Source organism: Homo sapiens, chromosome 6, assembly GCF_000001405.40.
Source record: "Homo sapiens chromosome 6, GRCh38.p14 Primary Assembly".
In the NCBI taxonomy this organism is placed as follows: Eukaryota; Metazoa; Chordata; class Mammalia; order Primates; family Hominidae; genus Homo; species Homo sapiens.
In genome coordinates this window covers 106237953-106256422 of record NC_000006.12, presented here as the reverse complement: position 1 = coordinate 106256422, position 18470 = coordinate 106237953, and the positions used below count along the sequence as shown (strand labels likewise).

At 36.4% G+C, this 18470-nt stretch overlaps 1 protein-coding gene across 10 annotated transcripts in view; it reads left to right on the top strand.

The window, feature by feature from the left end:
• Positions 1-18470, top strand: part of ATG5 (autophagy related 5) — a 141285-nt gene that overhangs the window by 69338 nt on the left and 53477 nt on the right. For 7 of the 10 annotated variants that reach the window (NM_001286111.2, NM_001286107.2, NM_004849.4 and 4 more), the window contains one exon: positions 8179-8273. The exons of 2 other annotated variants lie outside the window; for them this stretch is intronic. In NM_001286111.2, coding sequence (NP_001273040.1) covers positions 8179-8273 — 95 coding nt within the window. The remainder of the gene's footprint in view (positions 1-8178; positions 8274-18470) is intronic. One more of the 10 variants, NM_001286108.2, reaches the window with a different exon arrangement.

Sequence of the window (18470 nt, the reverse complement as noted above, 5' to 3'; positions counted from 1 at the left end):
GAAATCAGGTAATTGGTCTGGAGTGGGTCCTGCACATTAGTATTTTTTAAAAGCTCTTCAGATGATCCTATCCTGGTGAGAAGCAAAAGTTAAGAAATGTTGCATTGCATACTGCATCTCCAGTGACCATTGGTGGCCCCTTTGTTTTGAAAGCTTGTGTTATTTGTCAGTGGATAATCATTAACAGATTAATAGTGTTTTCTACTTTACACTTTCTCTCCAGAAGCATAAAGGATTTGTATTAAAGAGAGAATTACCTACATAATAAATGTTGGAAAGATTACAGTGAACATAATGGGGGTATCTTTTTGTCAGTCTTTCAAAAATTAAAATATTTTTGTTTTTACCTTATGACTTTGGCTTGCTTTCTGAGTGAAGTAAAAATGAACTCAATTGCATATTAAATTTGTTTCTGGCCCTCTGCATCTAGGAAAGTAATAAACTAATTTCGGCCAAGAGAAATAACATTTTCTTAATATACAGTAGTTTTAAAAAGTAATAGAACAGGAGGTTATTGGTTATAAATCTATAGATGATTGTAACAGGAATACATTTAGATAATTAGTCCTGGCCTACCACTGTGCTGTAGCTCTGTAAATCTCTTTTTGACAAGCTGCTTTAAAGATTGTCATGGATGAAGGGAAAATGGGAGTATAGTTGAAGATCATTATTATTAGAAATTTTAATATAAGCACATAGAACAACAGAATAATTTGTTTTTTACATTATGAAATTTTTGAGTTTTGAATCTTTTTTATTACCTGGCTTAAAAATACATTTGAAATAAATTATTCTTAATTGGTTAGAATACGATAATTGAATCCTGTCTACTTAAAAATGAAGGCAGTTACTGGGATTGACTCTTGGAATACGTTTAAAGATGTTGTAACTTACAGTCATGGTTTATTGGCTGGTGATGTTGAAATTGGAATTTACAGTCTGCTTTTCTCAATACTTAATAAGATTAATTTTCTTTAAATTTCCAAGCAGTAGTTTTTAACGATTTACAGAGTTTTCATGAGGTAGCTAGTTTTTACTGACTCCATTTATAAAGCTATGCTGTAATAAGGTGTAGCAATTGTGAACCTCTCATCTTTTCAGATTAACAAGAACCCCTTCCCCCATCATGCTTATGTCCTCTCCCCTACTATATTAAGACATGTTAGAAGAAGAAGGGGTTGGAAAGGAATGGTTATCTAGGTCTTAAGCGATAGAGTTGGAACTCAGACTTGCTTGTCAAGACTGGAGGACTCCTCAGATGTTGGCCCAGATGTTCTTGGACCACCATTCTTATTCCCACCGTTACATGATATGGCTGGAGATGAATGCAGTGAAATTGATGGGAGGTAAATGGCAACTAAATTGTGCCCACAGGGTGAGAAGATAGAACCTTATATGGTGGTTGAAAAAGTTGGAGGAAGCAAAAGGGACATAGAGGGTATTTGGTTGTAAATATTGCAGCTATACTGTGTTAGGGCTTTTATTCTCCCAATTATGGCTAGCAAAGGCTGCTCAATTGCATAACTCCAACAGGCAACATTCACATAGAATTTGATGTGAGTGATGCAGACTCCCTGGCTCTGAGCCAGACTGAACAGTCCAGCAGTTCTGTAATGATGGGGTTTTGGCAGGGCCACTTTTCCATACTGGTCCTGACACTTCTTACCTGGTAGAATCTAGAAGCTCAGTGCCTTCTCTTGTTGAATCTGAGGCAGCCTAAAAGATAATGATAATAGGAAACACTTATGTAGCACTTAATTTGTGTCAGGCACAGTAAGTGTCTTGCTAAAACTCACACAACTATTAAATAAATGACAAAGCTGGGAAACAAACCCAGGCAGTGTGGCTCCAGACTGTCTACTTTTTCCACTATGCCACACTTTGTTTGCTATTCCCTTGTTTTTATTGTCTCCATTGCCTAGTCATTCATTTAGCTATTAGTGATTAACAAACATTCGTTGAGTATGTACTATGTGCATACTCATAGTACATTAACTTTCTAGGGCTGAAGTACGTAGAACTTTCTAGGGCTGAAGATAAAGTCTTTGCCCTCATGGGACTTACATTTTGGTTGAGGGAGAGCGACAGTACATACTTAAACATGTAAATTGCATAATTTGAAGTAACGATAAGTATTTAGAATAAAATAGAGTGATGGTATAGGGAATGATTGGAAAGTGGGACTGTCTTACCTAGGATTATGAAAGAAATCTTTCTGAGGGGGTAACACTATTGAGACTTGAATGATGAGAAGCAGTTATGTAAAGATTAGGAAAGTGGGGATTCTAGGCTGCTAAAACTGAAATGGGAGCAAGTTTGGTATTTACTAGGGACCGAAAAGAAAAATAGCATGACTTAGAGCTTAGTAAGTAAGGTAGGTAGTAACTTAGTAAGTTAGTAAGGTAGACAGTGAGATCTCAGAGAAATGCAGCAATAACTTTCCAAGGGGGTGGAATGGGCCTGGTAGGAATCTGCTTCTAGGGGAAGAGGTATTTTGTTACTCACATTATTTATGGTTGCCTGCATGTAGAGTTTGGTCAGGGAGCAGTCTGCCCCAGATGCAGGCAGTAAGGAGATGCAGTGGGTTGCATATTTTTAAAAATGATTTTAGTATATAACTTAAAATAACCATATCATTAATGTGCATCATAAAGCATTATGTTTTATGGCCCATTAGAAAATATTTGAAAATTTACTCGTTGATGATTTATACTTTAAAAGAGCTTTCTGGATGCTGTGCACAGGGGATAAACATAGGACAGTGACCAAGTAGGAGGCTATTGTGTTGGCTCAGAGAGGTGAAAGTGGTAGTGGTGAACACGGAGAGAAGTAATTGCAGTCTAAATATATATTGATTACTGTTCTTGATGCCAATTTTCTAAGACTGTGGCACTTACTTTGTAGGGTAAAGGAGTAAATGTCTTCTCTCAGTTAATTTTCAGACAGTTACTGTCCAGGTCACAATTGTCCAGGAATTTGGATTTTATTGCTTTTGTGATTCACTGAAACCACAGATTTCCCTGGGTAGAAACCTTCTGCCAAGATGTGTGTTTATGGACAGGATGAAGGATGAACTTCCTCCAGGACTGGCACTGCTCAGCCCTGACGCAGAGGCTAGCCCACTGGGCCCACCTACTTCTGTGTTCATGATGAATTTTCAAGGGCTGATTCTCTTAATTTGACCTGGCTCATAAGGCAGATGAGTTTGAAGATACAGGTCACTTACTGAAAACCTGCTTTTGGCAGCCTACCAGTAATTACTACTTGTTCATTTTTATTTTTCTCCTGTTTTGTCTTACAGAGATGTTTAACATATTACGTATGAAGAAATTAATTCATATGGGTCTATATTTGAATGTGTTTTCTGTTACATACCTTGAAAGCCTCTGATTAAAACAATACAATTATTACATGATCACTTGTAGTACTGATTTGAATAATACTGTTGACAGATGGAAAATTTTGTGAAGAGTGGGTTCCCTTCTGTAGTGATTTTCAGCCATTTGCTTTTCCTTCCAAAGACAAGCTTACAGTCTGTCTTCTATGTGCTGTCACAATCCGACATTTATTTGAAATGCTGTAACTCTGCTCTCCCTTGGCTTCTTAGATGTTAAAGACCAGGAGGTGAATAGTGTATGCATGTGGAGACCATTTCATCGGTTTCCTGCATGAGGGTCCTAGCCAGCTGAATTGAGCCTGAGTAGCAATCCCTACACTCTCCTTATATGTCCTCCATGTCTCCCGTGGGGGATTTTAGACATGTTATTTGTGGCATAAGAATTATTTTGCCTTGAGTTTTTACCTCTCGTAAAGCTTAAGTGGAAGAATAGGTAAATCCTTTAAAGTTATCACTTTTTCCTGCAGTTTGTCCATGTGAGTAACAAAGAATACAAATTAACTTGGTATCTTATGCATTTTAGAGAGCTCTGAAATTAAAAAAAAAATAACATTTTTTCCAGGTGTTTTAAAATTTGCAAGACCAATATAAAAGCTTAATTCAGCAGAGAGAGAGAGGAAAAATGGATGACCATCAGGATTTTTGAGGAATGGTATTTTTCATCTTTTTTTTTTTTAATTGATTGAATATTTCTGTAGAACAGTCCTTCAGTTTTATGCTTTTGATTTGATAGCCTTCTTAAATGTTAAGTTTTATAAAAAGAAACTAACATCAGTAATATTGCTTGTAGCTCTGGCGAGAAGTATATATATTATCTTCCTCCCAATGTGAATAAGCTAAGTGACTGCTAGTTTTAATTTTCTCCTACTTAGTCTTTGTTTTGTTTGGCTCTGCACGGTGGCTCATGCCTGTAATCCAGCACTTTGGGAGGCCAAGGCAGATGGATCACTTGAGGTCAGAAGTCCAAGACCAGCCTGGCCAACATGGTGAAATCCCGTCTCTACTAAAAATACAAAAATTAGCCGGGCGTGATGATGCATGCCTATAACCCCAGCTACTTGGGAGGCTGAGGTGGGAGAACCTCTTGAACCTGGGAGGTGGAGGTTGCAGTGAGCAGAGATCTCGCCACTGCACTCCAGCTGGGGTGACAGAGCGAGACTCTGTCTCTTTTTAAAAGGAACAAAAAAATCCATTGTGAAAGACACTTGGTTATTCCTTCAATCTCAACACTGATTTTCTCTCCTCCTTTTCTTTTCTTCTTTTCTTTTTCTTTCTTTCTTTTCTTTCTTTCTTTCTCTTTCTCTTTCTTTCTTTCTTTTTCTCTTTCTTTTTCTGTCTTTCTTTCTCTCCCCCTCCCCCTCCCTTCCTCCCTCCCTCCCTCTCTCTCTCTCTGATTAGGGTGTTTTTAGCTATTGCTGGGAAAATACCTTTTTAATATAAGAATATAGCGTTTCTATAAGAAGATTAAAGTTAATATCAATTAATACAGATTTTTTTTTTATCGTGTCTTCCTTTTAAACATAGTTGTATTTGGGCCTAATCAGTGGGTTAAGCAGGCTAAGTTTTATGTGAAGAATTAATAAACTCTGATAAAAGAGTGTCTATAAAATATAAGAAAACTATATATTTTACCTTAGGGCTGAGAGAGGAAGACCAAACTTGTAAGGGGTCCCACCTGCAAAGGCTAGGGCTCAGACTTCACTGGAGGAGGTATATTCAGCTCATTGAATTAGTAGAAAAGTTCCCTCTTCCCGCCAGGCCAGAGTTGGTATGTAGTACATTGGCAGTCAGGGCAACCTGGAATGCAGGTGATCAACAACATGTGGCATGGTTGTGCAGAGGGAGTGGCAGCTGGGTGGGAAACCACAGATGGGCAGCCCATGCAGGCCTCCAGAGCAAGCAAATTGAGATGTTGATAAGGGCAAGCGCCCATTAGTGTGCCTATGCAAGCAGGAAGCCTTTGGAGTGCTAGATTCTGTCTTGAGGGCTGGTTAACCCTGGGCCAGGCTCCTGCTGCCACCTTGCTGAGAGACTTGCGTATCTGGACATTGGGCAGAACCGTTTCTCCTACAACTTCTTTTAGCATTTTCTGCTGAGAAATCTTAAGATAGTTGTTGCAGTAGAGATGCTTAAAGGATTTGTGACCATATAGCGATGCATATATTGAAGGGTGAATTTGGAGAAGAGAGTCATACAATTGATAACTGGCACAATCATGTTTCTTTTTCCAGTTTACTTTTATGAGAAATTATGTTCATAGTGTTCTATCCATTCTTTGATTCAAGAGCACATACTATGCATGCACCATGCTAGGTGCTTGAGATTTCATGACAAGGCAGCAAAGTAAAATTTTAAGTATGCATGAAGAATCATTATATTTAGCTGTCACATTCTTGCTTGATACTTGATGGTAGAAAGACACTTTTTTAAGCATTGACAGAATAATTGCTTCATATGTGAGAGGACTATGTCAAAGTAGTATTCTTCACATTAAGATAAAGTTTCGTGGCAGCAACTGTTGAAGCAATTGGGGACTTTGAATCGGAAGACCAAGATTCTGGTCTTGGTTATTAATTAAACATATAATAATCTGGGCCTTAGTTATCATCTGTGAAATTGTGCTGGACTTACTGGATTCAGAATTTTCTCTCACACCATTTCTAATATACTGCGAGTCTTCCTTCACATTGGAGTTGAAGATTAGAGTAAGGAAGGCCTAAAGCCTGTCACAGTCTTTTAGGACAGGGGTGTAAGAAGAAATTTTTTAAAAATATACAGTTAGGATGGTTTAAGCAGAATCAATAGATTGCCAGTAGATTGGATTCAAACAGGTCTAGTAATAGAAAAATACCAAGCTGAACTGTAATTCTGGATGTATTTCCTTGCTTTATAGAGATAAGATTTTGATACAAATTTCTGAATATAAAATATTTTATTATAAGGTGGGATTCTGGGTGAGTTAAAAAAAAAGGAGTTGCTTAAAAAACAATGTACAGAACGGGAGAAAATATGTGAGTCATAGATAAGGGGTTTGTATTCAGAATTTATAAAGAACTCTTATAACTCAACAATAAAAAGACAACTGGTTTAAAAGGGAAAGTGATTTGATAGGCATTTCTGCAAAGATGCACAAATGGCCATTGAGCACATGAGAAGATGCTCAGCATAGTCATTAAGGAAATGCAAATCAAAACCACAATGAGATACTTCTTGATGCCTGCCAGAATGATTATAATTAAAAAGACCAGTAGTAGCAAGCATTGGCAAGGATGTGGACTAATTGGAATCCAAATACATTGCTGGTGGAAATGTAAGGTAGTACACTCACTTTGGAAAACAGTATGGCAGTTCCTCAAAACACAGTTACCATGTATCAGTTAAATAGAGTTACCTAATGACCCAGTAGTTCTACTCCTAGGTACATACCCAAGAGAACTGAAAACATATGTCCACACGAAAATGTGTTTACAAATGTTCATAGTAGCATTATTTATAATAGATAAAAAGCGGAAACTACTTAAATGTCAGTCAACTGAGAGAACAAAAATCTGGTAACTCCACATAATGGAATATTATTCAGCCGTAAAAGCAAATGAAGTTCTGATACATACTACAACATGAATGGACACCAAAAATATTATGCCAAGCGAAAAACCCAGATGCAAAAGAACCACATATTATATTACTTCATTTATATGAAATGTCTGGAATAGGCAAACTATAGAGATAGAAAGTAGTGATTTTTCAGGGGCTGGGGCAAGGGGGAGTGGGAAGTGACTATTAATAGTTACAGGTTTCTTTTTGGGATGCTGAAAATGTTCTGAACTCTGAATATACTGAAAACCACTAAGTTGTATACTTTAAAAGGGGTGAATTTTATGGTATGCAAATTATATCTCAAGTTGTTTATTTAAAAAATTTGAAATTGAAAAGTTTTTAAAAAGAGCTTAATTGGTCTGAGATTAAGCTGCAGTTGGCACTTCATAAGTGCCAGTTCCATGTTTCTTTCAAAGCTTTTTTAAAAAAATCTTTGGTATTTAATGTTTACTGTGTTCAGTATTTTGACTTTATTTTTATTTTTATTTTTGAGACGGAGTTTCGCTCTTGTTGCCCAGGCTGGAGTGCAATGGCGTGATCTCGGCTCACCACAACCTCTGTCTCCCAGGTTCAAGCAATTCTCCTGCCTCAGCCTCCCAAGTAGCTGGGAATACAGGCATGCACCACCACGCCTGGCTAATTTTGTATTTTTAATAGAGACGGGGTTTCTCCATGTTGGTCAGGCTGGTCAGGAACGCCTGACCTCAGGTGATCTGCCCGCCTCAGCCTCCTCCTAAAGTGCTGTGATTACAGGCGTGGGCCACTGCACCCTGCGACTTTATTTCTTTACACAACTTCTAGTTAACATTTAGGCTACTTGAAGCTGTACCTTTGTAGCTCAGCAATTAGAAGTAGTACCAGGAGAGTCAAGACATCTATCCTCTACCTGGTGTGTTTTTTGCCTTGATAACACAAGTAGTCGTATGTTTATATGTTTACAGTTTTTCTTATGAGAAAAAAATGGCTGTGCGAATATCTAGGGAGAGGATGCAATAATGTAGAAAAAAATTAATTTTATATTTGCTTTATGTTTATGGAAAGATAAGTTTAATAAAAATAAGAAAATATATGTGATGTCCTTTCAGAAACTTCTAGAGGGATATTTAAAACTTTCATCTCTTCATGTGAGGTATTCCATTATAATGTTGTTCATTTTTAATAACAAATAATTTATATCATTACAGACAGATTTGACCAGTTTTGGGCCATCAATCGGAAACTCATGGAATATCCTGCAGAAGAAAATGGATTTCGTTATATCCCCTTTAGAATATATCAGGTAGGAAATAACATTTTAAAAAACATCCATTTATGAAAGCCTCAGACATCTTAATTGAAGCACTCTAGTGTAGAACTCTTTGTCTGCATAGTAACTAAACGGTATTTATTAGGGGTTTTCCAAACTGTGTCTTTCAGTGGCAATCAAGTCAGATACCGCACTGAAATATTTGACTCATATGCATTTGGTACTCATTATTTGTAGATTTCATATTGGCAGATTCACATGCTTACTAAAATTTATGTGTAACCCCAAAGTCAGTACTTGGAGCACTTTTACGGTCATTCAGAGTGGTGAAAAATTGATTCACCTGATGCTCATTTCCCAGCAGAGGTTGATCAAAGCGAGGCTCTACCTTCTTGTCTCAGCTGTCATACTATAAACAAGCCTTCTTGTCACAGTGTATGTAGTGCCATGCTTTTACATTTTTGTGCTTTTTATTAGTGATTTTGCTGTTTAAAACAGACTCCAAATGTAGCACTGAAGTGCTCTTTTTAAACAGAAACACACATAGAACAAGGTTATGTATTGATCAGTTAATGAACATGTTGTGACCGAGGGCTCACGGAAACATAACCTTGTATTCCCCCAGGAGCGATGATTTCAGTGTTTGTGGTAACCTTATAGAACAGAACTACTGCAAATCACAAGAATTTACTAAGTCTGTTTGTTTTGGATGGTGAGTCTTCAGTGTTGTACCACAAAGTAGGCAATAGGCTCTTAAGTCTTTCTCACAGCATATTTGCATGAGGTAAAGAAACTCCATGTTTCTGTACTTTAAAAGTGCTGGCATAAATATTGACATTTAGCAAATATTAAATATTTTTTTAATGAATGGCATTCCAGGAAGTAAGTTACATACTATTAATGAGAAAAGCATTTAAGAACAAGAACCAGAAGCATAATGTCACAGGCTTAGACTCTAATCTAGTAGGACTTCCATTCAAACTCAGAGGTTTTGTCATAACTTTCTTTGTAGCCATTTTTAGTATCCCACAGTCTTTACCAATAGTTCCTTCTATAGTTATTTTAAAATCTTTTATAGAGCCATCACATAACTATGTGTTCAGAGAGGAAAGCAAATTGTCTAATTGAAAGTAAACATCTCAATATACTGGAAGAATGAAGAATATTTATTTAGTGTTGCAGGTATAATTTTCAAATAGTCCATATTTTTCATGAAGGCGGGGTTATTGTTAGGTTCATGCTTTGTGTCCAGGTTCTAGAAAAGTGCCCGGCATTTGAATTTCTAATTTATTAAATCATTTATCATTTGTCAATTTTATTTTAATTATTTATATTCTTTCTATTTTACCATGAGCTCCACAGTAACATGCCGTAAGGCATTCCCACAGCCCAGCAAAATATCTTACTTGTATAATTTAGTTGAAGAAAATATATCGCAGACTCTGAAGACATTTCACAAAGAGTCCGGAAACTGTTTTGAGATTTATACCTCTCAGCACTTATTTGGGTCAAGTTCTGGCATATATATTTATACAAGAGATTCTTTACTGTAACTTCTTTAAACTCCTGTAGGGAAAATGTATTATACTTAATTTAGGAATTATTATTGTCAGAATATAGTGCATGTGTACAGAGGAAAGGTTTTCCTTTTTGAATTTATTCTGTTTTAGGGGAAAATTGTCAGATTAATCCATACCTAGTGTTGTGTTATTATAATACAGATAAGTTTCAGAGAGAGAGAGAGAGAAAGGGTGTGTGTGTGTGTGTGTGTGTGTGTGTGTGTGTGTGTGAGAGAGAGAGAGAGAGAGAGACAGAGACAGAGAGAGAATGGTTTTTATAAAGTGCTATAATTAGATAGAAAGTGGGAGGGTAGAGAATTCTCAAAATTTGCTTGACAAAACCTGGCTGCCAGATGGGGACTCTCGGCAGAACCTCCTGCTTGATCTTTAATGTGTCAAGGCACTTGGGCAGTTTTTCCTTAAACAGAAAGCAACAAAGAGCCTAAGGACAATATAGGTTCTCATTTGACCTACATAACTTTCCTTTTGGCTTTATCTCAGTTCCATTTTGGTTTTTATTTGAATTTAATTAAAGTTTTAGAAGTGAGATATGAAAATGAATATAAAAATTAAGGAGTCCAGTTTTTGCTAATTTGCCATTTCCTGGCTTTTCCTATTTCCCTATTTGGTATTCAGTCTTCAACCATGGCCTTGACCAAAGGAGGATGGAACTCTATTTTTGTTTGCCTAATTGTGTGATCTAAAGGCAACATCAGATTTCTGTTGCTGACTTCTTTATATCTGATTAGTTTGTATGGTTGTGATATTCTGTTTGTTAAATGTAGCATTTATTTGTGCAGCATTTTGATTAACACCTTTCATTTCTTTAAAATACTAGATACAAATCTCTATAATATTTGAGCCCTTAAGTTACTAAGTAAATTTAAGGAAAATCTGAAAATCTAGATTCATTAATAAAGGGCATAATTTTTACTGAAATATTTATTTTACTTTGCAGAATCCTAATAGAATTTCTGCATAACCGGAGAGAGAGAGACAGAGTACTGAGCATGCTTGAGTGAGGCCCATCTTATCTTGTTGAAGCCTCAAAACCATCTTAGGAATAGGAATCATTATCTGATTTTACATGTGAGGAAACTGAGGCTAGGGAATTTTAAGTCACTTGCCTCAGTGAACAAATGAAAAATGGAAGAACTAGAATCCAGACCTAGGCCTGATTTATGAGCAAACTATGACTTTTGTTTGTAATCATTAAGTTTGTAGAATTTTCAGAACATAATTATCATGAAAAGTGAAGTCTGCCCTGACCAAATAAGTTGATAGGAGCCTAGAATACCTGTGACTGGTGGTATTCTTTGAAGATAAACTTTTGTAAAGATTGTCATCAAACTATTTATTTTTCATCTGTAATTCATTTATCATGAGCTCAAAATGACTATAGTCAGGTGACCGATTTTTAGTGGTAAAAGTTGAATTGGTCCAAAAGCCATCTAGAGATGTTGCAGACCAAAATGTGTCATTTCTGTCATTTACATAACAGTTTAGTTTGGTGTGTTAGTTTCAGGTTTGTGTTCCTGAAGTCCAGGTGCTTCATATTAGCCAGTATTCTAGAGATGACATTAAGTGCAGGAAATGTTACAGAATGTAACCAAAATGTTATTTAGCACTTGTAAACAGGTGGTGATTAATGAAGGCATTTGTCAAAAAGATTTGTAAAATGACTGTGAATTCCTTAGGCATTGGTATTTGAGATGTAAAATGAAAATTAAGCACATCATATCTGTTTTTCAAGAAGCAATAGATTGATAAATGTTATCCTGCCATTATACTTTGGGTAAGAAAAGTGTGTCTCATTGATTCATTCAACAAGTTTATTTACACACATATTTGCCTGCCATGCCCTGTGCTATGCACAAGGGATACAACTGATGATCGATATTATGTGTGACCCCTTAGAAGGTTATAGTCTAAAGGTGGAAAGAAACAAATCAACTAAGAATACAAATATAACATTGGAACTGTGATTGCTGTGAAGAAGAGACATACAGTGCAATAAAAACCTAATGCCCCAGGAAGAATTTGTTCTAGTTTGGGAGGAGAGAAGGCTACCTTGAGGAAATGTTGCATTCCCAGAGATTTGACAGATAGGTGAACTTAAGATAGGCAAAGAGTCATGAGAAGAGCTTTGTAGGCAAAGGGGGACGTTGTAAGTATAAGGACAACCTGTTTGTCTTGACCACAGAGTTTGGATAAGGCTGCAAAGGTAAAAGTCAGGCCATATTAACGAGTTTTCTCTGTATCCTGTAAAGAATGGGAGATCTTAAGAGATTTTTAATTATTTGAATATCCATTCATATTTATTCAACAAAGATCATTCAGTCATCTACTTTGTTCTACATGTTATTCTTAAGGTTATAAATAAATTTAGAGAATCTTCATAGAAACAACCTAGCAGTGTTATTTTTAGTTTTAAAAAAACAAGAAGCTGATAAAACAATGCTTGTTTTCTAATAAAGTTAAAATGAGACCAGCCTGGATACAACATAGTGAGACCCCACCTCTACAAAAAAATTTTTTTAAATGAGCCGGATGGGGTGGTAAGCACCTGTAGTCCCAGCTACTTGGGAGGCTGAGGTAGGAGAGTCACTTGTATTTGAGAGGTCAAGGTTGCAGTGAGCCATGATCATGCCACTACACTCAAGCCTGGGCATCAGAAACAGACCCTATCTTTAAAAAAAAAAAAAAAAAAAAAAAAAAAGGATGGTTCCTACTTATCTTTGTTTTATTTTTATATATTTTTTAATTTTATTTACTTACTTATTTATTTATTTTGAGATGAAGTCTTGCTCTGTCGCCCAGGCTGGAGTGCACTAGTGCAATCTCGGCTCACTGAAACCTCCGCCTCTTGGGTTCAGGCGATTTTCCTGCCTCAGCCTCCCGAGTAGCTAGGATTACAATTGCCCACCACCATGCCTGGCTAATTTTTGTATTTTTAGTAGAGACAGGGTTTCACCATATTGGTCAGGCTGGTCTAGAACTCCTGACCTCAGGTGAACCACCTGCCTCAGCCTCCCAAAGTGCTGGAATTACAAGTGTGAGCCACTGCGCCCAGCCTATTTTTTTTTTTTTTTTCCCCAGAGAGGGTCTTGCTCTGTCACCCAGGCTTGAGTGCAGTGATGTGATCTCAGCTCACTACAGCCTCTGCCTTCCCGGCTCAAGCGATCCACCCACTTCAGCCTTCCAAGTAACCAGGACTACAGGCATGTGCCATGCCTGGCTAATTTTTGTATTTCCTACTTGTCTTTGGAAGAAGTTGTTCATTAGTTACAAAAAAGTAAAATAAAGTAGAATTTGAACTTCGTTTTGTTTACTTTCATAATCCTCAGAATTCTGCTTCCTTTCCCATTGACGATTGAATGTAAAGTTGTTCATTTGTATCATTAAAGCGCCATTAATATTTTAATTCTTTTGGGAGGTTTACTGGCTATTTTGGTTAAGCAAATCTATTTAACTTCTATGTGCTAAAAATATTTAAGAATCTAGATACCGGTTTGGGGAGAGAAAAAGTACATTTTTGAAAATGGAAACTAGGATGTCAGGGATTAACTTGGCACCTTCTAAACTGAAGAAGGAGCCAAATTTTAGACTCTGTTTTGTTTCCAGAAATGTTGATTTCTGGATTTTGAAAAGTGAGGACAGTAGAAATATGTGGCAAATTATGGCCATGTTTGTTAGGATTCTTCCCCTCCAGGGTTTTAGCGATGTTGATAAGAAATTATAATTTTGCCTTTTCAGTTGTTTTCCATTTTAGTAGATATCTTGCAATAACATCTTACAGAAAAGTCAGGAACCATGAAAGAAGGACTTACTGGTTAGTAAACTGAATATTATTGCTTTTAATTTAGTTTTTCAGTCATTTCAAAAAGATACACAACATCATTTGTAATAAATTTTGAACTGCAGATATATCTCTAGCAGAATAGGATGTATTCTGTTTCCCAGGTGAATGTAAGTTGCTTGAGGTGTTTTTTTTGTTGTTGTTATTTATAGTATTTTTCCTTAATATTATTTTGTTTTAATTTTTAATCATGGTAAAATAAATGTAACATAAAATTTATAATCTTAACCATTTTCAGTAGTGTTAATTATGTTCACACTGTTGTACATTCATTCTCCAAAACTCTTTTCTTCTTGCAAAACAAACTCTATACCCATTAAACAACTCTCTGTTTCCCCATTCTACTTTATGGATTTGACATCCATAGGTACCTCATACAAGAGGAATCATACACTAATTGCCTTTTTGTGACAGGCTTATTTCGCATATCATGATGTCCTCATTGTTTATCTATATTGTATTATGTGTCAGAATGTCCTTTTTTTGGCTGGGTGTGGTGGCTCACACATGTAATCTCAGCACTTTGGGAAGCTGAGGCAGGCGGTTTGCTTGAGCCCAGGAGTTCGAGACCAGCCTTGACAACATGGTGAAACCCTGTCTTCTATAAATGTGTGTGTGTGTGTGTGAGTATGTGTGTATAGATATAGATAGATATAATTTCCACTTTTTAAAGGCTTAATAATATTCCATTGTATATACATACCACATTTTGCTTCTCCATTCATCTGCTGGAGTTGCTTCCACCTTTTGGCTATTGTGAATAATGCTGCCATGAACAGGGGTGTATTAGCATTCTCCAGAGAAACAGAACCATCATGGTGGTGGTGGTAGTGTGTGTGTGTGTTTGTGTAGAGAGAGATTTATTTTAATGAATTGGCTTTCCTGGTTTTGGCAGCTCTTCCTTGAGTCTGCAGCCTACCTCATCAGACCCTGGACTCACCAAGCCAGGGTGATGGGATGGGCTGTTGACTCAAGGAAGAGTTGCAGTTGAGTCCAAAGGCAGTCTGTTGCCTGAATTCTTTCTTGCTCAAGGGAGGTCAGTCTTTTTCTGTAAGACCTTCAACTGAGTAGATGAGGCCCACCTACATTGTGGATGGTAATCTGCTGTACTCAGAATCCACCAATTTAAATGTTAACCTCAGCCAAAAAACATATATATAGAAGCATCCAGAAGAATATTTGAACAAATATCTGGGTATTCTGGCCCAGTTGAATTGACATGTAAATGTTGAAATGGGTGTACACCCTGTTTTCAGTTATTTGGGGTATTTACCCAGAAATGCATATTCCTATCATAAGATAATTTTATTTTTATTTTCTTGAGGAATGGCCATACTGTTTTCCGTAGTAGCTGTACCACTTTACATTCCCACCAACAGTGCACAAAGGTTTCTGTTTTTCAGATCTTCACCAATATTTATTATTTTCTGTTCTTCATACTAGCCATCCTAATGCATGTGGGATGTAATCACTAATGAATAGTGCTCTGCATCTTTTCATGTGCTTGTTTATCATCCTTGAAGAAATGTCTATTCAAGTCCTTTGCCCATTTTTGAATTGGGTTTGGGTATTTTTGTTGATGAGTTGTAGGGTTTAATTTGTTCTTTTTGTTGAGACAGAGTCTCGTTCTGTCACCTGGACTGGAATGCTGTGGCATGATCTTGGCTCACTGCAATCTCTGTCTCCCAGGCTCAAGTGATTCTCCTGCCTCAGCCTCCTGAGTAGCTGGGACTACAGGTGCCCACCACCATGCCCGACTAATTTTTGTATTTTTTGTAGAGCCAGGGTTTTGCCATGTTGGCCAGGCTGGTCTCGAACTCCTGGCCTCAAGTGATCCGCCTGCTTTGGCCTCCCAAAGTGCTGGGATTACGGGCATGAGCCACCGCACCCAGCCTAATTTATTCTTTTTTAATGGCTGCATTATGTTTAATCTGTAGATGCACTGTAATTTGTTCAGTATTCACTATCAAGTTTTCTTTTTTTCTAGTTTTTACCATTATAAACAGTACTACAGTAAGCATATGTATTTTTTTTAAGGTATGGAATAGGTACCCAAAAATGAGTTTTTGCATCAAAAGGTAGAGATTAAAAAAAAAATTGCCAGCTTACTTTTCAAAAATGTATTAGTTTAAATTTTCACTAACAGTATATGAGAGCATGCTTCTCCCCTTACATCTCCACCAGCAATAGGGCATTATAACTCTGATTTTTAGTAGTATTGTGGGTATAGAGAGATATTTTTACTTTAACTAATAATTCTCTCACACTTAGTGAGTTTATAAATCTGTTTTATCTTTGTTGACCATTTGGACTTGGTTTTCTGTAAATTGCACTGTATTTTGTTTTGCCTATCTTTTCTTCTTAACTTTTTATTTTATAAAATAATTTTATAGATATTTTATATTATAATATCTATAAATATATTAAAGATATTTTATAAAATAATTTTTATAGATATTAAACTTTTACCGTCAAACACATTGCAAAATATAACTGTATAATTCATCTTGATTTTTATGATATCTATATAAAAAATATAAATATATATCAAATATGCCCTTCTTTTTCTTAGTAGTATGTGGATTTCTTTCTCTGTTAAAAAGGCCCCTTAGCCAGGCGTAGTGGCACACATCTCTCCCAGCTGTTTGGGATTCTGTGGTGGGAGCATTACTTGAACCTGGGAGGTTGAGGCTGCAGTGAGCCATGATCATGCCACTACAGTCCAGCCTGGTCAACAGAGCAAGACCCCGTCTCAAAAAAAAAAGAAGGTCCTTTCCCACAATGTGTTGTGTGAGATAGGTGTCTATGAGATAGCTGATCTTTTATTATATAAACTAAGGTTTGGCAAACTTTCTTCAAGGGCCAGATAGTAGATATTTTCAGCTTTGTAGACAAGATGGTCTCTGTTGAAACTGTGTGATTCTGTAACATGAAAATATTTATAGACAATTTGCAAATGATAGGCTTGGCTTTGTCCCAGTAAAACTTTATTTGCAAAAATAGGCAGAGGCCACAATTTGGCCAGTGGGCCATAGTTTACTCACTTCTTACTGTCCTTTTCCCACTGGATGAATATGCCACCCCTGGTTTATAGTAAAGTAGTTTGACTTACTGGAATCTAATTCTGGATTCTTTATTCATTACATCAGTATATGTATTTTCTTATCCTAGTAGTATTTTTATTTAATTTTAGCGTTCTGATATCTGTTGGAGCAATTCATTTGTCTCCTTTTTTCATACTTTTCATGGTTATTCTCAGTTATTAATTTTCCATGACTTTTAAAATCACTTATTCAGTTCCCCATAGTGTCCTGTCTGATTAGAGATGGAAATACATTAAATTTCGATTTAAATTTTGATATAATTCACTTTCTTATGATATTAAGTCTTCCCAGACAAGAACATGATATTTCTTTTTATTCAGATTTTGTTTTATGTTCTGCATAGATTTTAAGGTTTTCTTCAAATAGACCATTTTTCTTTTTATTTCCAGGTGTTTTGTAGATTTTGTTTTTCTTTATTTTGTTTCCATTTCTAGTTATTTATGGCATTGGAAAAACAAAAATCTCATCCTATTGTGTTTTTACAAACTTTTTTTTTTCTTGCTTTATTGCATTGCTATTATAGTATTGCATTACCAAGACTGTGCTGAATAATGATGGTTCTAGTAGACTTTTCTGTGTTTGTTTTCTGGTATTAATTGATACAGTTTAAGTGTTTCATCAGTTAGAATTATAGCCTAGTCTTTATCAGATCTAAGTGATTTCCTTCTAGCGTTTCTAATTAGAAATGATACTAAGTTATTTGCTAGTTTGATGAAGTTATTGGGTTCCCCCCCTCCACTTTTTTTTATGCTTTTAAATTTGGTACCTCTGTGTTTTCATTCCATAACGTTGACCTTCCCTTTTCCTAAAGCTCATTATCAGGTTATTAAAAAATACTACCCATTTTACTCATCAAGACCCTTTATTCTTTTACCCCTATTTCAAAGATACTTATTTAGCATTTGTATTTCATATCCCAGATATTTTCTCAGTATCAAAGGTATCAATACCTGGCAGGGCTCTTGGTCGAAGTCTCTTTGTTCCCTGGTCTTCTCTCTGTCTGCCTCAGGAATAGAAAGGATTCAGCCTTTTATTCAGCTTTTTCTGTTCGTATGCCTGCTAGTTCCTCCCAGAGAGGAAAACACTGTAGAGGTTCTAGCTTTCTCCATGTACACCCTTCCCCAACCCCAGGAGCTGCTTAGCTCAGGAGAGCTGGTGTGTTAATAGGAGATGGAATTTGGAGGAAAGGGGAGAGAGGGATGGGTTAGCTCCCAGAATCCCATCCAAGTATAGTTGTTAATATGTTCTTTTTCATTTAGAGATATATGTTACAGTAATATTTGGGGTAAGCTGTCTTTAATACTTAATTCACACCCTAGTTATGGCAGTAGCATGCTAGGATACATGTTGAGAATCTGTGCTTAAAAGTATGATTTGTTCACTTGAACCCTGGGAAGTGGAGGTGGAGATTGTGGTGAGCCAAGATCATGCCACTGTACTCCAGCCTGGGCTACAGAGCAAGACTCCGTCTCTAAAAAATAAAAGTAAATAAAAGTTTTAAAAATATGATTTGTATCTCATATGTAAAGACAAGAAAGTATAGAATGGATGCTTAGTGCTTAAAAGGACTTCACTTCTGATTCAAGTAAATATAACAGTTATAAGATAAATACTGGTATGTTAAAGACAGATCACTCAGGCATCTTTTTGTAATGATAGTAATCTAAGGTCAGTCTATGAAGTTAATTTCATTTCTTCCCAGAATACT